This window comes from Homo sapiens, chromosome 4, assembly GCF_000001405.40.
Source record: "Homo sapiens chromosome 4, GRCh38.p14 Primary Assembly".
NCBI classification, from domain to species: Eukaryota; Metazoa; Chordata; class Mammalia; order Primates; family Hominidae; genus Homo; species Homo sapiens.
Genome location: NC_000004.12, coordinates 140,599,818 through 140,620,039, shown reverse-complemented (window position 1 = coordinate 140,620,039; position 20,222 = coordinate 140,599,818). Strand labels below are relative to the sequence as shown.

At 43.5% G+C, this 20,222-nt stretch overlaps 2 annotated features.

Moving 5' to 3' along the window:
- Positions 1,230-1,833: an enhancer, noted in NCBI's record as "H3K4me1 hESC enhancer chr4:141539361-141539964 (GRCh37/hg19 assembly coordinates)". NCBI's record gives its function as "activates a minimal SCP1, AML or CMV promoter by ChIP-STARR-seq in primed H9 embryonic stem cells {active_cell/tissue: H9 hESC(primed)}" and the evidence as "EXISTENCE:reporter gene assay evidence [ECO:0000049][PMID:30033119]".
- Positions 19,396-19,933: an enhancer, noted in NCBI's record as "H3K4me1 hESC enhancer chr4:141521261-141521798 (GRCh37/hg19 assembly coordinates)". NCBI's record gives its function as "activates a minimal SCP1, AML or CMV promoter by ChIP-STARR-seq in naive H9 embryonic stem cells {active_cell/tissue: H9 hESC(naive)}" and the evidence as "EXISTENCE:reporter gene assay evidence [ECO:0000049][PMID:30033119]".

The following is a 20,222-nucleotide window of genomic DNA, read 5'->3' as shown; positions in this document are numbered from 1 at the left end:
ATGTTCTCACTTGTAAGTGGGAGCTAAGCGATGAGAGCACATGGACCCAGAGAAGGGAACAACACACACTGGGGCCTCCTTGAGGGTGGAGGGTGGGTGGAGGGAGAGGAACAGAAAGAAATAACTATTGGTTAATAGGCTTCGTACCTGGGTGACAAAATAATCTGTACAACAAACCCCCATGACACTAGTTTACCTATATAACAAACCTTCATATGTACCCCTGAACCTAAAATAAAAGTTAACAAAAAAAAATACTCATTCCATCTAAGTAATGACGGTGAAAATGCGTCTGTTTAATCCTTATTAACATGCTATAATGCCATTTGGTTTAATCAAGTAGCTAGTCATTTATTGGACTCTAAGATTATTACACGTGACTCCATGTGTTTTTATCTTTGATGTCTTAAATATGCCTCAAGAAATAACTGCAAAATCTAATACTCTCACCCACCTGTACTTTGCCAAAATCAGAGATAGCATTGAGCGGGAAATAAGAGTGTTTTGTTTAAATGTGTAGCCCTGGATATAGAAGAGGAGCCAGCATTTTCCATTGTCATTAAGAAAGTGACAGTAAATGAGTAGCAAGTCCCTCTGAAAGCCTGTCTCTATTAATATGCTGAGAATTCTGTTGCAATCTTGTCCTTATTCGTTCAAGCACATCATAGTGCTTTTCATCACAGCAGCAATATACTGCATAATGGCAGGTTTTAGTCTGTGTTTACTTCTAAAGGATGCACAGGGAGGAGCCTGAACCCTTGAGCTGAAATTTCCAGCTTCGTCTACGAGACAAATAGGCTCGTCCTCTCATTCGCTACATCAGAAGAACATCCTGGGGGAATTATTCCGCCCTCAGCTTCCAGAAGACAGGTGACACATTTCTAGTTGTTCATGGTTGTGTTATGCACTTTTCGTGTCTCCATGGATTACTCTCTTTGATTTCAACTTGTGATTTACCATCTTCTCTGTTTTTTGGGGGGTGTTTGTTTTGTAGGGGTTTTTGTTTTGTTTTGTTTTGTTATTTGTTTTTGCTTTTGAGACAGAGTTTTGCTTTTGTCACCCAGGCTGGAGTGTGATGGCACAGTCTCTGCTCACTGCAACTTCTGCCTCCGGGTTCAAGCAATTCTCCTGCCTCAGCCTCTGAGTAGCTGGGATTACAGGTGCCCGCCACCATGCCCAGCTAATTTTGTATTTTTAGTAGAGATGGGGTTTCACCATGTTGGCCGGGCTGCACTCGAACTCCGGACCTTAAGTGATCCACCCGCCTCGGCCTCTCAAAGTGCTGGGATTACAGACATGAGCCACCATGCCCAGCCATTATCATCTTCTCTGGCCACTTTACCCCCATCTCTGTCAGTCCTTCCTATGCTAATATAATAATGATGACACCAGTGCAGAGGAAGGGCTCAGTGTCTATATCTCGGTGAGGTTCCTGCTCCACAGCACTGGGTCCTGGCCTCAGTGGAGCTTTCACATAAGAACAAGCAAAAGAGAAAGCTACTGCTACAGAAAAGGAACAAAGCAAACCATGCAGAGTGTGGATGCGGGGAAGGGATGATGCCAGAGAAACCACAGATCTAAGGATATCAGGATATCACTGCTTAAGCACCACTTTGAAGCTGATTCTAGGGAGAAGCAGGATAAGCTATGTGGTAGAACCACAAAGAGAGCCACGGCCAATAAGGAGGCTCATGTCCCAACAGCATCCTCACCCCCACCAAGGTGACGCAGGCCGAGCACCCTGGCTTCTGGGCACAGGGCAACTCCCGCAGCCTGCTCTCTTCAGGGCAAACCTCTTTAGGAAGGGTGGTGAGGTTTCTCCTCCTCACTTTCCTGGCCCCAGAGACTCTATAGGAACCTCCCAATCTCAGTAGAGTAGCCTTGGTCTGGTCTCCAGCTGAAGCGTTGTCTAGGAGCCTGAACTTAAAGAGATTCTGCTTCTTGAACCTAGCAGGGAAACTGAAGTGGAGGTGTTGGCAGCTGCCTTATTTCCACTTCCAGTTAAGGGCTCCTCTGGTTGTGTATTTGTCATTACCCATCCTGTGAAAAGGCTCTTTTGTTACAGATTCAACTTCTAACCTGAAAAGAATAACAATTGATGTGTTGAGTAGAAAGCATTTCATACTATTTTCTGCTTTAAAATGACTCCTTTACATAATGTTTAGGCCCCTGTGCCTTTTGTTTAACATGCTTTTGACAGTCTAATTCTTTAAAAGGAAAGCACGGGACTCAGACAAAGGAATTTATCGTTAGACACAAGTGAGTAGAGTAGGCTAAGACTAGGATTCTCTTTCTGTGGGCTTTGTTAATACGATCGGCTGCCAGGCAGACCGGTCTACACAGCAGCTAGAGGCAGACGGCAGAGGGCCAAGCTGTAGATTATCAGGGCTTCCTGGATTCATACTACTTCCTCCCCTCACCCTTCACAGAGAAGCCAGAAGAAGTCCACAAAGCTAAATCCTGTAGCTCTTAGAATACCTGAAGGAAACAGTATCAGCTAGATTCATGCCACATCCTAGGACTGGCCTGGAAATAATCTTTTGAGCCCTAGAATAGGTCTGGTGAATTCATTCATTTCATGACTATTGACCACCTACTGTGTGAGATATTGTTTTAGGCACTGAGAGTACAGCAGCAAATGACAATGACCAAAAACAATCCCTGTCCTTAAGGGAAATTCTATTTTAATACGGCAGACAGACTATAAGCAAGGTAAGTACCATATCTGTTATGTTAGTGGCATATGCATTAAAACAAACACAGCGGGGAACCTAGGTTAGAAATGCTGGGCTTGGGAAGGTGGTGAAATTTTAGATGGGGTGTTTCGCGAAGACCTTTCACAGAAGATGACTGTTTAGTAAAAGCCAAGGGAGCAAGCCATGCAGATGAGATGACTGGAGGAAGAGCTTTGCAGACAGAAGAAACTGCAAGTGCAAAGGCCCGATAATGGGAGTGCGCCTGGTAAGTTTGAGGGACATCAAGGAAGCTGTGGATGGAGCAGAATGAGTGAGGGGAGGTGGTAGTCAACGAATGCAGAGAGGTAATAAGGAACCAATGACAAGATGGCCCTTCACTCTGAGGGAGACGGCAACCACTGAAGGGTTCTGAGCAGAGGAGAGACATGACCCAATCAAGGCTTTAAAAATAATTCTGGCCACTATCATGACAGTAAGTAGAAGCGCAAGGATAGAAGCAGGCAGACCACTTAGGAGGTTACCACAGGAACCCAAGTAGGAGTCGGTGATGACTTTTTCACCTACCCTCAATTCTGAGGCCTAGAAGGAGCAGAGAGGCACATCCATCGTATCCTAATGGTCAAAGCAGGCACAGGCCAGGTCAGACTCAGAAAGGGAGATGGATCCTGCTTCTCAATGAAAGACATGTCAAATAATTGCTGTCCTCTATTCTGCCACATCGACCATTCTTCTGGGTTTTCCTGGGCCTTCTTGGATATTCACTAAATATTTTAGCATCTGGCTCATAAATTTCTTTTCTGCCCCAGTTTTTGCTACCATTCAGGGAACTTCTACATCTAAACCAAGAACCCAGAAAACACTTTAACCTTGATTTCCTGGATTCCTGTGATTTTCCATCCCCTTCTGTGTCTTAGAAATATGAACTCATACCTTTTCACCTCTGTCATTCCCAGGACAGTTGCCTACAGTACTTCTAGTCCTTCAACTCCTCTATTAATCCATGAGGTCTCGCACTGATTTTCCTATTGAGATATGATCCTGTGGTCATCTCTTTCACCACTATCTTTTCAGCTCTCTCAACTCAATCTGCCTGGATCCTCTGCATCTGCCATCTGTCCTCTGCGGTGGTTACTCTGTAAACCCCAAATCAGGAATTGTTATAAGCATCTGCCTTCTTCATTCGCATCTGGGCTGCTGTGTAGCAGACACTGCTAGAGGTGAAAAAATTTACATGATATAGATTTGTACTACTCCAATTTTATGATTTTTATCTTCAGATAGGTCCTGAATGCCAATTAGCAATCCATGATTGTTCCATGTCCCTGATCCAATCTTCCTAGTCCCCCAAATAGCTATTTTAATTCTTTACTAGTCTCATCGAACCCCCTAATCCCACACCTGCTTCCTCTTAGATGAAAATTTGATTCTCAGTTAACAGAAATAATTGGAGCTATCAGTTGCAGCTCTCAACTCTGAGCCCCTCAAGTGCAAATGTGTCTGCACCTGCAATCTACTTTTCTCCTTCCTCCATGTTGGAGGAAAATTCAGCACTCTTTAACCTCTTTTATCTTCAACATCTTCTTCACAATAGCCTCAGGTTGTAAGACTATTTACTCAATCCCTTAACTTTGTAACATACTAGTTATTGACTTATCTAACTGCATCACAACCAAACATGAAAGAGTGGCCTTATCTTACTACCTCTGTTTCTTCACTTCCAGTCTAACTTCAGTGCACTTCGGCATGGATTTACCTTTGCACTGAAACTGCTCTTGCTGAGGGCAAAAACAGTTTCCTAATTGCTAGCTCCAATAGATCCTGATTCTTAACTTACTTTCTCTTTCTGTGGTATTTAGATCTTTTGACACTCCCTCATTAAAATTATCTCCTCCTTTTCAAGGTGTCCGTGACACCAATATCTTTGCAATTCCCCTTTGTTTCTCTAATAAATTCACCATGAACTTTCCTGGGCTGCTTTCCTTTGCCCACCTCTTACATGATGGTCACCACAAAGATCTTCCCAAGGTGCTCCTTTCTCATTGCTTGCCCTGAAAGAGTGCACCCACTTCAATAACTTCAACCCCTATCTGTCTACTACTGACTCCCAAATACTAAGTCAGCTCAGGCTTCTCTCTGGAACTGTTTCATTTAGTCCATATGTATTGAGTGCCTTGGGTGTTCCAGGCTTTGTGTCATGTGCTAATAACAGCAGTGACAATGAACAAAAGAGGCACAACAATGCTCTCACTTCCTGAACTTATATGCACTTCAAAAACTGGACTCTTCTCTCCCCATAAAGTTTCCCTTTATTATTCCCTATTTAATTAATAACAGCAATATCCATGTAGTAACTGAAGCCAGAAATGTATGTCATTCTTGATTCCTCCAAGTTGTTTATGACCCCATTTTTTTTTTTTTTTTTGAGACGGATTCTCACTCTGTCACCCAGGCTGGAGTGCAGTGGCATGAGCTCAGCTGACTACAGCCTCCATCTCCAGGATTCAAGTGATTCTCCTGCCTCAGCCTCCCGAGTAGCTGGGACTACAGGTGCACACCACCACACCTGGCTAAGTCTTGTATTTTTAGTAGGGACAGGGTTTTGCCATGTTGACCAGGCTAGTCTCAAACTCGTGACCTCAGGTGATCTGTCCACCTCAGCCTCCCAAAGTGCTGGGCTTACAGGCATGAGCCACTGTGCCCAGCCCCTATCCATTATTTTTTTTATTTTTTATTTTTTATTTTTTTTTTTAGATGGAGTCTTGCTCTGTCACCCAGGCTGGAGTGCAGTGGCACGATCTCGGCTCACTGTGAACTCTGCCTCCTGGGTTCACACCATTCTCCTGCCTCAGCCTCCCGAGTAGCTGGGACTACAGGCACCCGCCACCACACCCAGCTAGTTTTTTGTATTTTTAGTAGAGACGGGGTTTCACCATGTTAGCCAGGATGGTCTCGATCTTCTGACCTTGTGATCCACCTGCCTCAGCCTCCCAAAGTGCTGGGATTACAGGCGTGAGCCACTGCACCCAGCCCCGTTATTTTTTATAAACACCATTCAATCTCTGCTCCTCGGTCTATTCTCAATTATACTGACAGTCCAGCTTTGTATCTGGCAATAGGTTCAGAAGGGTTTTATTAGGTTTATATATTAATATTTGATCTATCTCTTCAGTCCAGACTGTATTTGTATAGGTTATCCTTAAGCAAAAGTATCAATCCTATTACCTTCATATAACAAAAGGAAATTGATTGCTTTTTACTTAAAACAAAACAAAACATTTCTTGGCTTGTTGTGGATTGAGCAGGCTCTCAGCTTCTTGCTTCTTCTTGACACCTTTGCCCAATATGTGATGATCCAACTGCCTCAAAGTGTGACCCAAAGGGAGAACTCAGAGGTTGGTGCTCTGATGGAAGCTTACATATGCATTTATAGTCCCTGACCTTGGCAACTGTAATAGTTTCCTTAATTGGGTCTGCTTTCAGTAACTGGAAGGCAGTCATTCATTTTTTCTTTTTTTTTTTAACTTTTATTTTAAGTTCAGTGGTACACGTGCAGGTTTGTTACATAGGTAAACATGTGTCATGGAGGTGTGTTGTACAGGTTATTTCATCACCCAGGTATTAAGCCTGGTATCCATTAGTTATTTTTCCTGATCCTCTCCTTCCTCCTCAACTCCACCCTCCAATAGGCCCTAGTGTGTGTTGCTCCCTTCTATGTGTCCATGTGTTCTCATCATTTAGCTCCCACTTATAAGTGAGAACATGCAGTACTTGGTTTTCTGGTCCTGTGTGAGTTTGCTAAGGATGATGGGCTCAAGCTCCATCCATGTCCCTGCAAAGACATGATCTCATTCTTTGTATGGCTGCATAGTATTCCATGATGTATATGTATCATATTTTCTTCATCCAGCCTATTCACAATAGCAAAGACATGGAATCAACCTAACACTGCATCAATGATAGACTGAAAGGCAGCATTTTAAAATGGCCCTTTGGCTATTTGTCAATCTGTGTGTGATATAATTACTCTTCTAATTGTTGGCAAGCAAGATAGAAATGCGCAAGTCTGTAAATTCATCATGTCACACTTTCCTATGTGTACATGAATGTTTGTAGCAAGTGTTTGAAACAAACTTTTTGGATTGCAACAAAGGTTGCTGGATTGTTGCCATTTTATTTTTTGCCCCTAGTCCTCCCTCTCACACTCCTCAGTTATTCTTTTAAACTATCGCTTATGTGATCTTTTGAAAACTTTAATGTAATCATGTTTTCCTCTGTTTTAAGCCTCTCACCATCCCACCTTCCTACAGGATAATAGACAAGCATATATGAAAGTTTATGATCAGTCACTACCTATGTATATACTATTTCTCAACATTGGTTGGTATCCTAACAGGTAAAGGACCAAAAATATCCAAGGTATTAGAGTATATTCATTTTCCCCTTTTGGTTCATATTTTACAGCATCCTTTGTCATGCTGTCAAATTCTATGAGCCAGGTGCAATATTTCAATCCCTCCTTCAATTCCTGCTGCAAATTTAGACCTAAGAGTAGGAAATGGGGAAGAGTATTTACTTTTGAAGTTTCAAAAGTGAAAGAAAGTTTGGTATAAACCAAGAAGTGATCAGTATGAAATTTCAAAGGACAAAAATGAAACCCTAGCAGCAGAATTTGGATAATATAACTCTATAATTTGTATTGAATTGTGCAGTATTTTCAGTGTAATGCAACACAATATCTCTTCTCACTGTGAGAAATAAAGAACTGTACTTAATAATGAGGAAGTAAATAAGGAAGTAATACTTGAACTTGCCAGATCCTTCTTAAATGCTCATGTAAACTGAGAAGATATTTGGAAGAGTCTATGAAAAGATAAAAACGCAAAATATTTTGAGATAGGGCACTGGGTTGTTTCAACAGCTTGTCTCATAAACAAGAGAATTTGTAAATAGCTGCTGCTATGGAGTTAACCTGGGTATATTGATTTTCTAAAAGACTTAAGCAACCTATGAAATTATAAACTTTTTTGAAAATGAGTAAGATGAAATAGCTTTAATAGTATACATGGGTTAACATGAATATTTCAGAATCTTCTTTGGAATTGTATCTTTGCTCCAAATGGGAAGGGGCAAAAAATACCATTTTAGAGCAAAACTGTCTCTTGGGTGGCTTGCCCATGTCCAGGTGTTTGCTGTGAAGAGACACAGTAGTTGGAATCCTCAGCCTACACCGTCACTCCCTGCAACTCTCACCACCTGGTTCACCATGGCTCACTCTAGGGGCCCTGAGTACACATGCTGAGTCAGGCAATGATGAAGCCACGAGGCCAGAAAAAGATTCTGACTATCTGGGAAATTACAGAGCCATTCATTTCTCCAGCACAATGTTTACCCATGTGTTGAGATTTCTTGGAAATAAAAAAAAAGACAATTGATGAAGGACTTGTCACTGGGCTTAGCCTTGCCGCTATGCTAAATTTAAACTCTCTTTGTCTTATAGTAGAGAAGTTTCCTTTGAAATATCGTTCATCTGTATGAATATCACATAATAGTGTTTATTTTTGCTTACTTTTTTCCATACGAGTAATACACAGACACAGCAAAATGAATTCCCAGATTGACCAATAAGAAGTGAGGCAGAAAGAAAGTCTTCCTTTATTAACTTCTGTACTCCTACTTCTCTCCTTGGAGGTAAGTATTATTAATAGATTGAATTTCATTTGTTCTAGAAATTTCTATATGTGTCTACATACACATACGCGTTTTTTGTGTTTTGTGTGTGTGTGTGTGTGTGTGTGTGTGTGTGTGTGTGTGTGTGTGTGTGGTGTTTTTTTTTTTTTTTTTTTGAGACAGAGTCTCACTCTGTCGCCCAGGCTGGAGTGCAGTGGCGCGATCTTGGCTCACTGCAATCTTTGCCTCCCAGGTTCATGCCATTCTCACCTCAGCCTCCCGAGTAGCTGAGACTACAGGCGCCCGCCACCACGCCTGGCTAATTTTTTATATTTTTTAGTAGAGACAGGGTTTCACCGTGTTAGCCAGGATGGTCTCGATCTCCTGACCTTGTGATCCACCCGCCTCGGCCTCCCAAAGTGCTGGGATTACAGGCATGAGCCACCACATCTGGCCACATACACGATTTTAAAACATACACACAAAAATTGAATCAAACTAAAACTTATTCCGTGATTTCATGTTTCACCTGAGGGTCATGGAGATTTTTTCCATAGGTGTATATGGAGTTCTGTCTCATTTATGTTAATGTCAGCACAGTATTCCATGAAAAGGAAATGTTCCGTAATTTATTTAGTTACACCTATGCTGCCCCACCCTCTGTCTCAGTTGATGGACTTTTACTTATATGTAGGCTTTTCTTATCATAAACATTGTGGCAAGGAATATTACTGTAAAGAGATCTGTGACATATATAAGAATATCTTTTGGGGATAGGATTGAAAAGGTAAACTTGCTGGATCAAAGCATATGTCCATTTAAAGTCATGACAGATCCTGTCAAATTGCCTTCAAAAGTCCTTCACTTGTTTACATTCCCATCAACAGCTAGTGCTCCCTTCTTACATACCTTCAGCAACATTTGAAATTAACACTCTTTCTATTTTTGCTAATCTGATGGATAAAAGATGATATTTCATTTTAATTCAAATTCCTTTCACAGTGAAGCAGTTGAATTTTTTAAATCGATACATAATATTTTACACATTTATGGGCTACTTTAAACAATGTTTATTGCTCCTTTAGGTTCTTTTGAATTTGCCTTCTAACTTTTGGTGTCTTGCATTATATGACAGTGTGCATGTTTTATGAAATCAAATCTGTTACACTTTTTACACATGACTTCTGTGCTTTGTTTCTCCAGTTCTTAAATGCCATTCACTATGACAACAACGAGAGAATAAAATGAAAGAGAAAGAGGGGGTTATTAAGCAGAAGGAATTGCTCCACGCTCACTGAAGGCCAGTGGCTTTCCAAAGAGCTGGGGAGATGCATTTTTCCATGGGGCCTTAACAGCCACTTGTATCTGTCACAGAGCAGGCCCAAGCCAGAGCATCTAGTTACACCCATTCAAATGCATCCCACATAACCTCATTAATATCTATTCTATTTTATCCCACTAGGGGGTAATGTTGGGCTAAAGACCATTCCTGGTGACTAAATTTGAAGCCAGCGTTCAACATGTTCTGATTGAAGTTTTATTTCTGTGGTCAAAACTAAAAGGATCCATTCCTCCCTTAATGCTAGAGACACTTAGGAAAAAAAAAAGAGAGAAGAGCTTTGAATTCAAGTGTAACTGAAATGATATTATCAAGAAGAGCTTGACAAAAGCTTCTGCTCCAGACAGCACTCAGCAGAGACAATGGATTATTCTATTACAGACACAGGAAGCCACGGACAAAAAGAGGAAAAGATTCAATGGAAGAGAGATGATGTCCTTCATGATGCAAACATCACCTAACATTAAATATTTCCACAGGATTTTATTTCTGCTTAAAATCTAATTTCCTCTTGGGTTCATGGCCTTAAGCTGGCAAAATCCCCTCCTAAAACACTGCCAACGTCATATTCCTGCAGTGCCAGTGTCTCATGGGTCACAGAGCCCTCCTCCATGGCCTGCCTAACTGGCACTCTTCCATCAGAGCGCCAGCCTGTGGGAACAGGTGACTCCCCAGTGGCCTCACTCACAAAGCTCATGGAGAAACACAATGGGTGGAGGCCATTTTTTTTTTCTCTGCCCCCTCTACAATCACGTACAAAAGCACCTTCTAGGATCACCCTTCAAACTTCCAAAGATCTCCCCCTCTCCAAGGGCACTCAGTGTCATGGTACACTTTTAATTTTCTCTGCAAAGGAGGCAAACTCAATTCCTCTTTTAACAGCTCCCTTAAAAATATTAAAGATCTGAATAAAGAAACTTAAAGGTCAAAATGATCCAAATTAAATGAGACAATTGTTTAAGGATTCAAGGGTGTTACTTTTTTTTCTTCTTTTCTTTTCTTTTTTTTTTTTGAGACAGAGCCTTGCTCTGCTGCCAGGCTGGAGTGCAGTGACATGATCTCAGCTCACTGCAATCTCCACCTCCCGGGTTCAATTAGTTCTCCTGCCTCAGCCTCCAGAGTAGCTGAGACTATAGGTGCGTGCCACCATGCCTGGCTAATTGTTTTTATTATTATTATTTTTAGTAGAGACTGGGTTTCACCGTGTTAGCCATGATGGTCTTGGTCTCCTGACCTCGTGATCCGCCCGCCTCGGCCTCCCAGAGTGCTGGGATTACAGGCATGAGCCACCGCACCCAGCCAAGGGCATTACTTTTAAAACAATACAGCCTGGACCTTGTCAGAAAGATGGAAGCAGGGTGGGCCTTCCAGTATTCCACTAAGAAGCTCACAGACAACACCACCAGCACACAAAGTAGGATAATTTTCTTTCCTAGATTTGGTGAGACAAAGAGGAAGAGAGAGAGAGAGAGAGAACTGTACACATGTGGGAGAAAGACATAAAGAGCTCACTAAGTAAAAGAGCTAGGCTGAATTTCAAGAACATCCAGAGTAAAGGAGGCCAGCCCCCTTAGAGATTTTCACATTCTGTTTCTTTTCTTTTCCTTTTTTTTAAGAGATGGGGTCGTGCTATGTTGTTCAGGATGGTCTTGAACTCTCAGTCTCCCAGGTAGCTTGGATTATAGGTGTGAGCCACAGCACCCAGCTACGCATTCCATATCTTTTTTTTTTTTTTTTTTAGACGGAGTTCCACTCTTGTTGCCCAGGCTGGAGTGTAGTGTCATGATTTTGGCTCACTGCGACCTCTGCCTCCCGGGTTCAGGCAATTCTTCTGCCTCAGTTTCCGAGTATCTGAGTTTACAGGTGTCCCCCACCACATTTTTTAGCAGAGATGGGGTTTCACCATGTTAGCCAGGCTGGTCTTGAACTCCTGACCTCAAGTGATCCACCTGCCTTGGCCTCCCAAATTGCTGAGATTACAGGCGTAAGCCACCGTGCCCAGCCTACACATTCTATTTCTGACTGTCACCTTTAGCTCTGACTGACCCCAAGGTATTGAGAGGAGCAACAGGGCCAAGCTACCTGAACCAGGCGTCAGCAGGTAACACAGTCACTTGTCTACACTTCCATGGATATTTTCTACGGTTTTCCTTCCCCATCTACAGACGGACAGTTTGGAAATGGGAAGACATACTATGCCCAGTTTAAAGTCTGTAATTTGAGAGCCTGGGGATGGGGTAGAAAGGGAAGAGTAGCAAAAGAGTCAGCAAAGCGGAGCACAGATCACTGGAGCCCTCTCCTGGGAATAAATGTTCCCTCCCCACACACATCTCTGTCCTTCCTAAATGGACTCCCATCTCTATCTTTTTCCCTCCCTCCTCACTAACTGCAGCTGCCAATTTGAAAGTCTTGTGAGTCAAAAAAAACAAGCCTGGAGATTTCTGTGAGCTCTCTGATTCCCAAGAAGAGGAAAGGAAGAAAATTAGTAAAATGGCTTAGTGAAGCTAAGCCTGTGGGCAGACTACCCTGAGTTACCTGTTCTTCACTCTGCCTGTATTTTTCAATATCTATTTATAATACTGCCTGAAATGCCACTAGGCAGAGCAATTTGGGTTTAGTACTGTCCTCAGACGTGGGCAGTTGGTGTCCTGCCTTGGGCCTCAGGCTTTAGTGGGCTCTGCCTTGTCCAGCCACTCTGACTATGCTGCCCCCACCACGCACTGCTCTGGAAGGACCAAGGAGACTGATGTCAGGGGGACTGTGCCAGTCACCTTGTCCAGACCACACTCTGGTAACCAGAATCCCATTACCCTGCCCAAACAGCTCTGAGTCCCTCCTAGGACCTGCCCAGTCTTCTCCTCATGCTCGTGAGAGCAGAGCCATGTACCTAGGCATGGCACCCTGGGCAGAAGGGTGCCTAGGAGTTCCCTGTTGGGAGGATTGTTTACAGACCCTCTATATATAAGCTGGGGTGTCACATCCACATGCACAACGCCATCCACAGTGAGATAAAAAATGGTGGGGGGTGGGCCTAGGGCCTCCATGTGTACTCTTCCCCGACCCAAACATGCTTTGGGTAGGCCAGCTTGGGTTAGCAATATTTCTTTTAAAAGGGACTACAATACTAACTCATTAGTATGAAATCAGTTTACAAACTCACCATTGGACTCTACCACTATACAAAATGTCAGCAAAAAAAGTCAAACTCTGTAAAATATTTGAAGAGGTTTATTCTGAGCCAAATATGAGTGAGCAATACCCATGACACAGCCCTCAGGAGTCCTGAGAACATGCGCCCAAGGGGGTCAGGCTACAGGTTGGTTTTATGTAATTTAGGAAGATATAAGCTATCAGTCAATACATGTTAAGATGTGTATTGGTTCAGTCTGGAAAGGTGGAACAACTGGAAGTGGTGGGTAGGAGGGTGCTTTCGGGTCATGGGTGGGTTCAAAGATTTTGCGATTGGCATTTGGTTATTATCTAAAGACTTGGAACCAATAAAAATGAACGTCCAGGTTGAGGTAAGGGATTGTGGAGACCAGGCTTTTATCATTCAGGTGAAGACTCCAGGTAGCAAGGCTTCAGGGAGAAAAGAATGTAAATGTTTCTTATCAGACTTAATTAATCTGTTCCATCAGTAATTCTGAAAGGGAGGAGGTATAATCAGGCATGTCCAACACCACCTTCCCATCAAGGCCTGAACTCGTTTTTCAGGTTAACTTTGGAATGCCCTTGGTTGAGATAAGGGATCCATTCAGATGGTTGGGGGACCTGGAATTTTATTTTTCATTTACAATAAGCAGGATCAAGAAGAGGTGGAGAAGACACTGAGTTATATGCCTGGGTCCTGTACCAATGCTGTGCACAACCAGATATCTAATCAATGACTCTAGCCTTGGGCTGACACCCTGAATGACGTTACTATTCACCTCATGACAAGCAGCCCAATCGCAAGCCTAATGCCGAAGACAGGCATGTCTGACAAGTTTCTTGTGTAAGCCAAGTCCTGGCTTGTGTGTTTTGTTGGTAAGGATTCTAACACATTTTCTGGAGTCACAAAAAAGGGGTGCCATGATCACTTAGCCAGAACCACAATTGGAGCCAGATAGAAAAATAGCCACACATGTGCCAGGTCTTTGCCACCCTTGGTCAAACAGAAGTATTTGAAACTTTCCTGTGGGTATTAGTCTTTAGACTCAATCCTTAGACTGGAAACATCCTAAAGAGGCTAAAATAAAGACTAGAATCCTAACTAAAATATCTGGGTTTTTATTTTCTGAAAACCAGAGTTACCTTCTTTCTGCTAAATCTAAGTCGAGCGGATGGTCCTTAGGAATATGCATAAAGGTGATTGCCATATTCTTCTCAACTTTTCCTCTTAAGTAATTTGTCAACTATTCATCAGTGCAGGAGCAAGAGGCTCAGAAGCCAAGCAAAATGGCTCTCAAAGAGGCGAAGATGCTGAACAGAGCTTTTGGTAGTCTCTTGATGTTAGAGAAATAAAAGTAGTGGTTTGAGAATGAAAAGAGAACAAGGATGTAAGAAGCCAAAATCCTGGAGAGAAAGTAAATATGGAGAAGTTAACTCTGAATGGGTACCCCTCAAGGCGTTTTCTGACTCTTAACATGCAAAGCAGCAGGTTAGGAAGCTGAGTCAAACTTCAGGTATTCTCTCTGAACAGGGAGATAAAAATTATTTCAAAGTCTGCCAAGGAGTTGAGATCCTAGAAGATGCCCCAAACTATTAGTTGGGACTCCTGAAAATCTATATCTTAAAAGTACATATGGGCCAGGCACGGTGGCTCATGCCTGTAATCCCAGCACTTTGGGAGGCCAAGGCGGGCAGATCACGAAGTCAAGAGCTCGAGACCATCCTGGCCGACATGGTGAAACCCCGTCTTTACTAAAAATACAAAAATTAGCCAGGCGTGGTGGCACACACCTGTAGTCCCAGCTACTCGGGAGGCTGAGGCAGGAGAATCGCTTGAACCCTGGAGGCGGAGGTTGCAGTGAGCCGAGATCGCACCACTGCACTCCAGCCTGGTGACTGAGGGAGACTCCGTCTCAACAACAACAACAACAACAAAAAGCACATGTGAATAAAAAATAGTCTTTATCAAAGCTGAAACCCAGAAACCAGTTTAATCACAAAGATAAAGAGAGCTGTGCCTATTTTCACTGCATGGCAAAAAGAAGCTACATCTTCTCTGGATGAATATAATATTATCCAGATCCTATATAATTTTTCATATATATGTATGACATTTAATTTTAAAAGTATCAAGTATACTATGGGACAGGACTAGAGAAAAAAACAGAAATAAAATCAAACCCACAGATGATCCAGATATTGGCATTATCAGATACACACAGGCTTTTAAAAGATTGTATTTAATTTGTTTAAGAATATAAATTAGATGGAGAATTTCATGAGAAGAATGGAATAAAAATTGAATGCAAATTTCATAACAGATAAAAATAATAACTGAAGTTAAAAACTCAATGGATGAGCTGTGTAGAAAACTAGACATAGCTAAAAATGTCCAGCCCTTTCAGGACCCATATATGCTATCCACCAGGTCTGTATATATTCACCCACTAGGGGCCTGGGAACTGGGGAACTACCTATCGCATTCCAACTCTGCTGGCACCTGACCACTTCCTCCAGGGCCTGAGGTCAGGCCAACCCACCCACCCAACACCACCACAATGAACGCCCACTTACACGGGCCTAAAGGGGGGGGTCCCAGCTTTGCAAGAAGCAGCAATACTGCCACATCAGAGAACAGGCGAGCCTTAAAGCTATCTGTATCAGTTTGAGTGACGGGGTTATGTCTGAAACCATGTCCTTGGAGAGTCACAAAACAGACATTTCCCATGGCTCTCAACCACACTGTGGTCTGGAGATAGACTACAATGTGCATTTAAACTAGGAGTCAGGAGAAGAGCTTCGGAAGACGGCAGATAGGAGGCAGGGTTAACGTGCATCTCCCACTTGGATGGACAGAACAGTGTGTGGAGATTCACACTGTGAACTTTTGTTCCAAGAACCACACACAAATGTACCAGGAAAACTGAAAGAATTGAGAGATCTTTGAAAGAAATGGCACACTGCTGCAAACTCAGAAAGACAGGTCAATATGGTTGGCTGTGTCCCCACCCAAACCCCATCTTGAGACGTAGTTCCCATAATCCCCACATGTAATGGGAGGGAACTGGTGGGAGGTAATGTAATCATGGCGGCAGTTACCCTCATGTTGTTCTCATGATAGTGAGTTCTCATGCGATCTGATGGTTTCATAAGGGGCTTGTCCCCCTTTTTGCTGGACACTTCTTTCTGATCCCACAATGTGAAGAAAGACCTATTTGCTTCCCCTCTACCATGATTATAAGTTTCTTGAGGCCTCCCCAGCCATGGTGAACCGTGAGTTAATTAAACCTCTTCCTTTATAAATTACCCAGTCTCGGGTATGTCTTTATTAGCAGCTTGAGAACAGACTAATACACAGGTGAAAAGCTGTGAATTCCCAAAGTGTGAGCGGGGGAAACCTGCCTCTGAACACACATCCCCACTGGGGAATCTGAAAACCCAGATCACCAGAGAAGGACTTAACCTTACCTACAGCTTGAATGGATTTAGAGAGCCACACGAAATATAAAAGTAGAAACAGCAGTGGGAAGAGACTTGCAGCCACTCCCAGTCTCCAGCTCAAGCTAGGGGAAACCAACCCTGATTCACAGGGGTCCTTAGGGAAGGCAGCCAGCAGAATTAGGGAGGGGTCACAGGGTGAAAGAAGCTTCCAAGTGAATTTTGTGATAATCTCTATTGGGCATGGACTTCCTTGAATAGAATCCAGGATGGAGACTAGTGGGGGAGTGAACAGGAACTGCTGCAGATACAAGTGCAGAAGCTGCCACCATTGTGAGCAGATGGGGAGGGGCAAGGCCTGAAAGCCCTGCTTGCTTTCTCAGCAGGGAATCTTATGGCCTGGGGCAAGTCTGAGTTCTCTGTGCAGGCTGCCCGGATATAAACTCAGTGCCATTAGCGGGGCACCGTGGGAGTGAGATTGGCCTCACCAACTGCATAGGAGCTGGGTAAGGCCTTTTGCTACCAGCTATCCCCTACTTCCCTGGTGAACAATACTGCTAAGTAGAGGCAGCCATACTTTCCCCTAGAACATAACTCCATTGGCTTCAGAACCACCCCTCCTTCCCCCACAGTGGCCATGGCAAGCCCTGTCCAAAAAGAGTGAGCTCAGGCCTGCCTAGCCCTCCCCCAACCTGATGGTATTTCTCTACGCACTCTGGTAGCCAAACACAAAAGACATAAACCCTAGGGAGCTTTGTGCCCCCCTTCCACCATTGCGTGAGAAACCAGAACACTTCCCCTAGCCAATGTAGGGCAAGCTTATATCCCACTGCTAATACTGTAGCTGGTGCTCTCTTCCAAGTGCTACCTCCTGCCTGGAGGCCAACCAACTCAGCTGATTACAGAAACTCATGACAATAACACTGCTCCCAAGAAGAAGAAATCAACAGCTAATTCCACTGCCTACAACATGTGGGCTAACCAGAGGTCCTGAGTCCATCTGAGTGGCAACTTCACTGCTAGCATAACCAGCATTTGAGAAAGCACACTAAACATATCTACAACCAAAGATCCTCACAAAGTCTATGTTTCTCCCCTGCCACCTCCACCAGAGCAGGTGCTGGTATCCATGGCTGGGAGACCTGAAGCCTGGTCACATCACTGGACTCTTTGTAGGCATTCCCTAGCACCAGCCCAGTGCCTGTTAGCTCTGCTGGGTGGCTGGACACAGAAGAACAGTAACAATTGCTGCAGTCCAGCTCTCAGGAAGCCGCATCCCTAGGGGTAGGGGGAGAGCACCATATCAAGGGATCACCCTGTAAGACAAAAGAATCTGAAAAGCAGATATTTTGGCTGGTGGGTAGTTTCTCACAGCAAAGACCCAATTGTAGTGCTGGGTGCAGTAGGGAAAGTCTTGTAGGATACGATGAATTTCTGTGAGTTTCTCTTCAAAAGTTTAGCCTGCTAACTTCCTTGCCCTTTGTTCTCAAATCTAACTTTCTTGTTCTACATGCCACCTTGCTCCTAGTTACTGTAAACAGCCTACCCCCTTTCCGTCAGCTCTAATCAATAGCTCACATCTTTTCTCTTAGTTACCTGCACCCATTGTTCCCCCAAAACTGTACATCTCACATGCTTCACCACTGTACCTCATGTCCCCCTTCCCTTCCATATTTAGAAAAATATTTACAAGTAGCTAATCAGGTCAGTTTAGATTGTGTGGTCCAATCCCAGCCCATGGGGAAGAGACACAGAGGTAGGAATTGCATTAACTATAAAAACCCCCTGCTTTCCTTTGTTCCCTGTGCTCTTGCGACCCTGATTGACACGAGTAGCACCCGTCTGCAGAAGTAAATTGCTTTGCTGAGAAAACTTTTGCCTGAGTGCTGGTTTCACTTTGTGGTACCAAGCATTTATTTCTAGAGCATTTTTATCTCCAACAATCTGGGAGCTCATCCGGGATTCCCATTCTCCTCTGGGGGCTTGTGCAGGTTTCCCATTCTCCTCTGAGGAAGGGCCTCTAGTCCTCTCCTGTGAGGAGATGTGCCCTGCTGCCTAGTTGTGGTGGCCTCAGGGGTAAAGGAATGAGACCCACACAGTGAGACAAATAAACCCAAACTCTCAGCAATGCAAGGAATAAAAAAGCTGGCAACTTGAAGAAATGAGGCTCACATACCGTGGCAACCAGGTAACTCTGTGCACAGACTAAAGTAAGAAAAGTCACAGGGGCAACAGAGTATTTCCTTGGTGGTCAGAATTCTGGAGGTTGAAAGTGTGTATGAATGATCACAAGCGCTACTATTTGTGGTGCTGTTTGTGTGAGTGGTACTAAGCACTACTGCTGTGCAGAGTGAGTGAGTCCAATCTGCAGTTCTGTGGTCACCTTATACAGCTTAGGGCAGCCCTTTGGGGGTCCCATCAGGGGTTTATACTGACCCACCATCAATGCTAAGAAGGACCTGAAACATTCCCGCCAAGGAAGCAGCCAGAGTGGATGAAGTGAAAGTAAAGTGCAAAGACCCTCCAGCAGGTAAGGCTAAAGGATAGGCATGAAATCCTTAATATGAAGGATTGAGCCTTAACAAGTCCCCCAAGGAATAATAGGCAAGAAATTTCTAATATGAAAAATTGAGCCTCAATAAGCCTGCAGAAAAGGATAGGCAAGAAATTTCTAATACGAGGGACTGAGCCTAACTAGGACCCAACATAAGACATACCCCAAGCAAGACAAGGAATAAAAAAGATAAAGATGATACTAAAAATACCTCCTCCAATAGTCCCCTAAGTTTCATGTGAAAATGTTAGAAAGATAATGAAAAGTTAGAAAAGCCATTTCCCATGCCTAAATACTCTAGCACATAGGATCCCCTAGACCGTCTTCCCCTCTCAGTGCCCTCAACCCTTCCCCTCAAGCAGTCGTTTCTGTCCCTGACCCCACTTCAGATCCTTCGCCTGTCCAGGCACCTAGGTCACCAGGCAGCTTTTGTTAGGTTGTCAGTGTCAAAGATCTGCCACAATGTGTCGTCGGCATTGTCTGGCCCCTGTTGCACCCCCATGATTGGCAGAGCCCACACTCCTGCCTCCCAGCTGGTCCGGCGTGCAGGCACCATGTCAATGGCGCCTCCACAGGACATGCAGATCGGGCCACAGCCCATACCCTGAGCAGCCTGTATTATAGGACGTCTGCCTTACTTCTGCCAGGGCCAAGTAGTGCAAGGCTTCAGCTGAAGCTCCAGGCAGCTAGGCACCCCCACAGCTAATTTTCCTAAGCAAGTAAATAATCTTCCAGCTGATATATCCACTAGCATTTGTTGTAGTTGAGCCAGTGTTAGAAGTAGAAATGTACCACTAGAAAAGTATTACTTGTGTGTAAGTATGAAACTATTCTATTAAAAAAAAAGGATGATTTACGTTAACTACTAATACTTCACTTGACCCAGCAAGTTTCTTAACAAGAGATCCAAATCTAGGAGAAATTCCTTTCAGGATGAGACAATACTTGTTTATAGGTGATTCCTCCCAAGTGATTGAAGGAAAAAGACACAACAGGTGTTCAGTAATTGATAGAGAAGCTCTTAAAGAAATAGAGTCAGGAAAATTGCCTAATAATTAGTCTGTTCAAACTTGTGAGCTGTTTGCACTTAGTCAAGCCTTATACATTTAAAAAAGTTTTAGACTGAATAAAGTCTTATTAATAGTAAAGGCCAAAACCTTGTTCATAAGGAGTTAATCACCCAAGTATTGAATAACCTTCAGTGCCAGAAGAAATAACTATTGTCTGTCCATGTCCCTGGACACCAGAAAAAGCTTGTCTTTCAAGAATCAAGGAAATAACGTAGCAGATCAGATAAGTCAAGCAGGCCGCTGTTTCTTCTGAAATGTCTGTTTTCCACTTAACTCCTTACCTTCCTCCTCCTACCCTGATCCCTGTT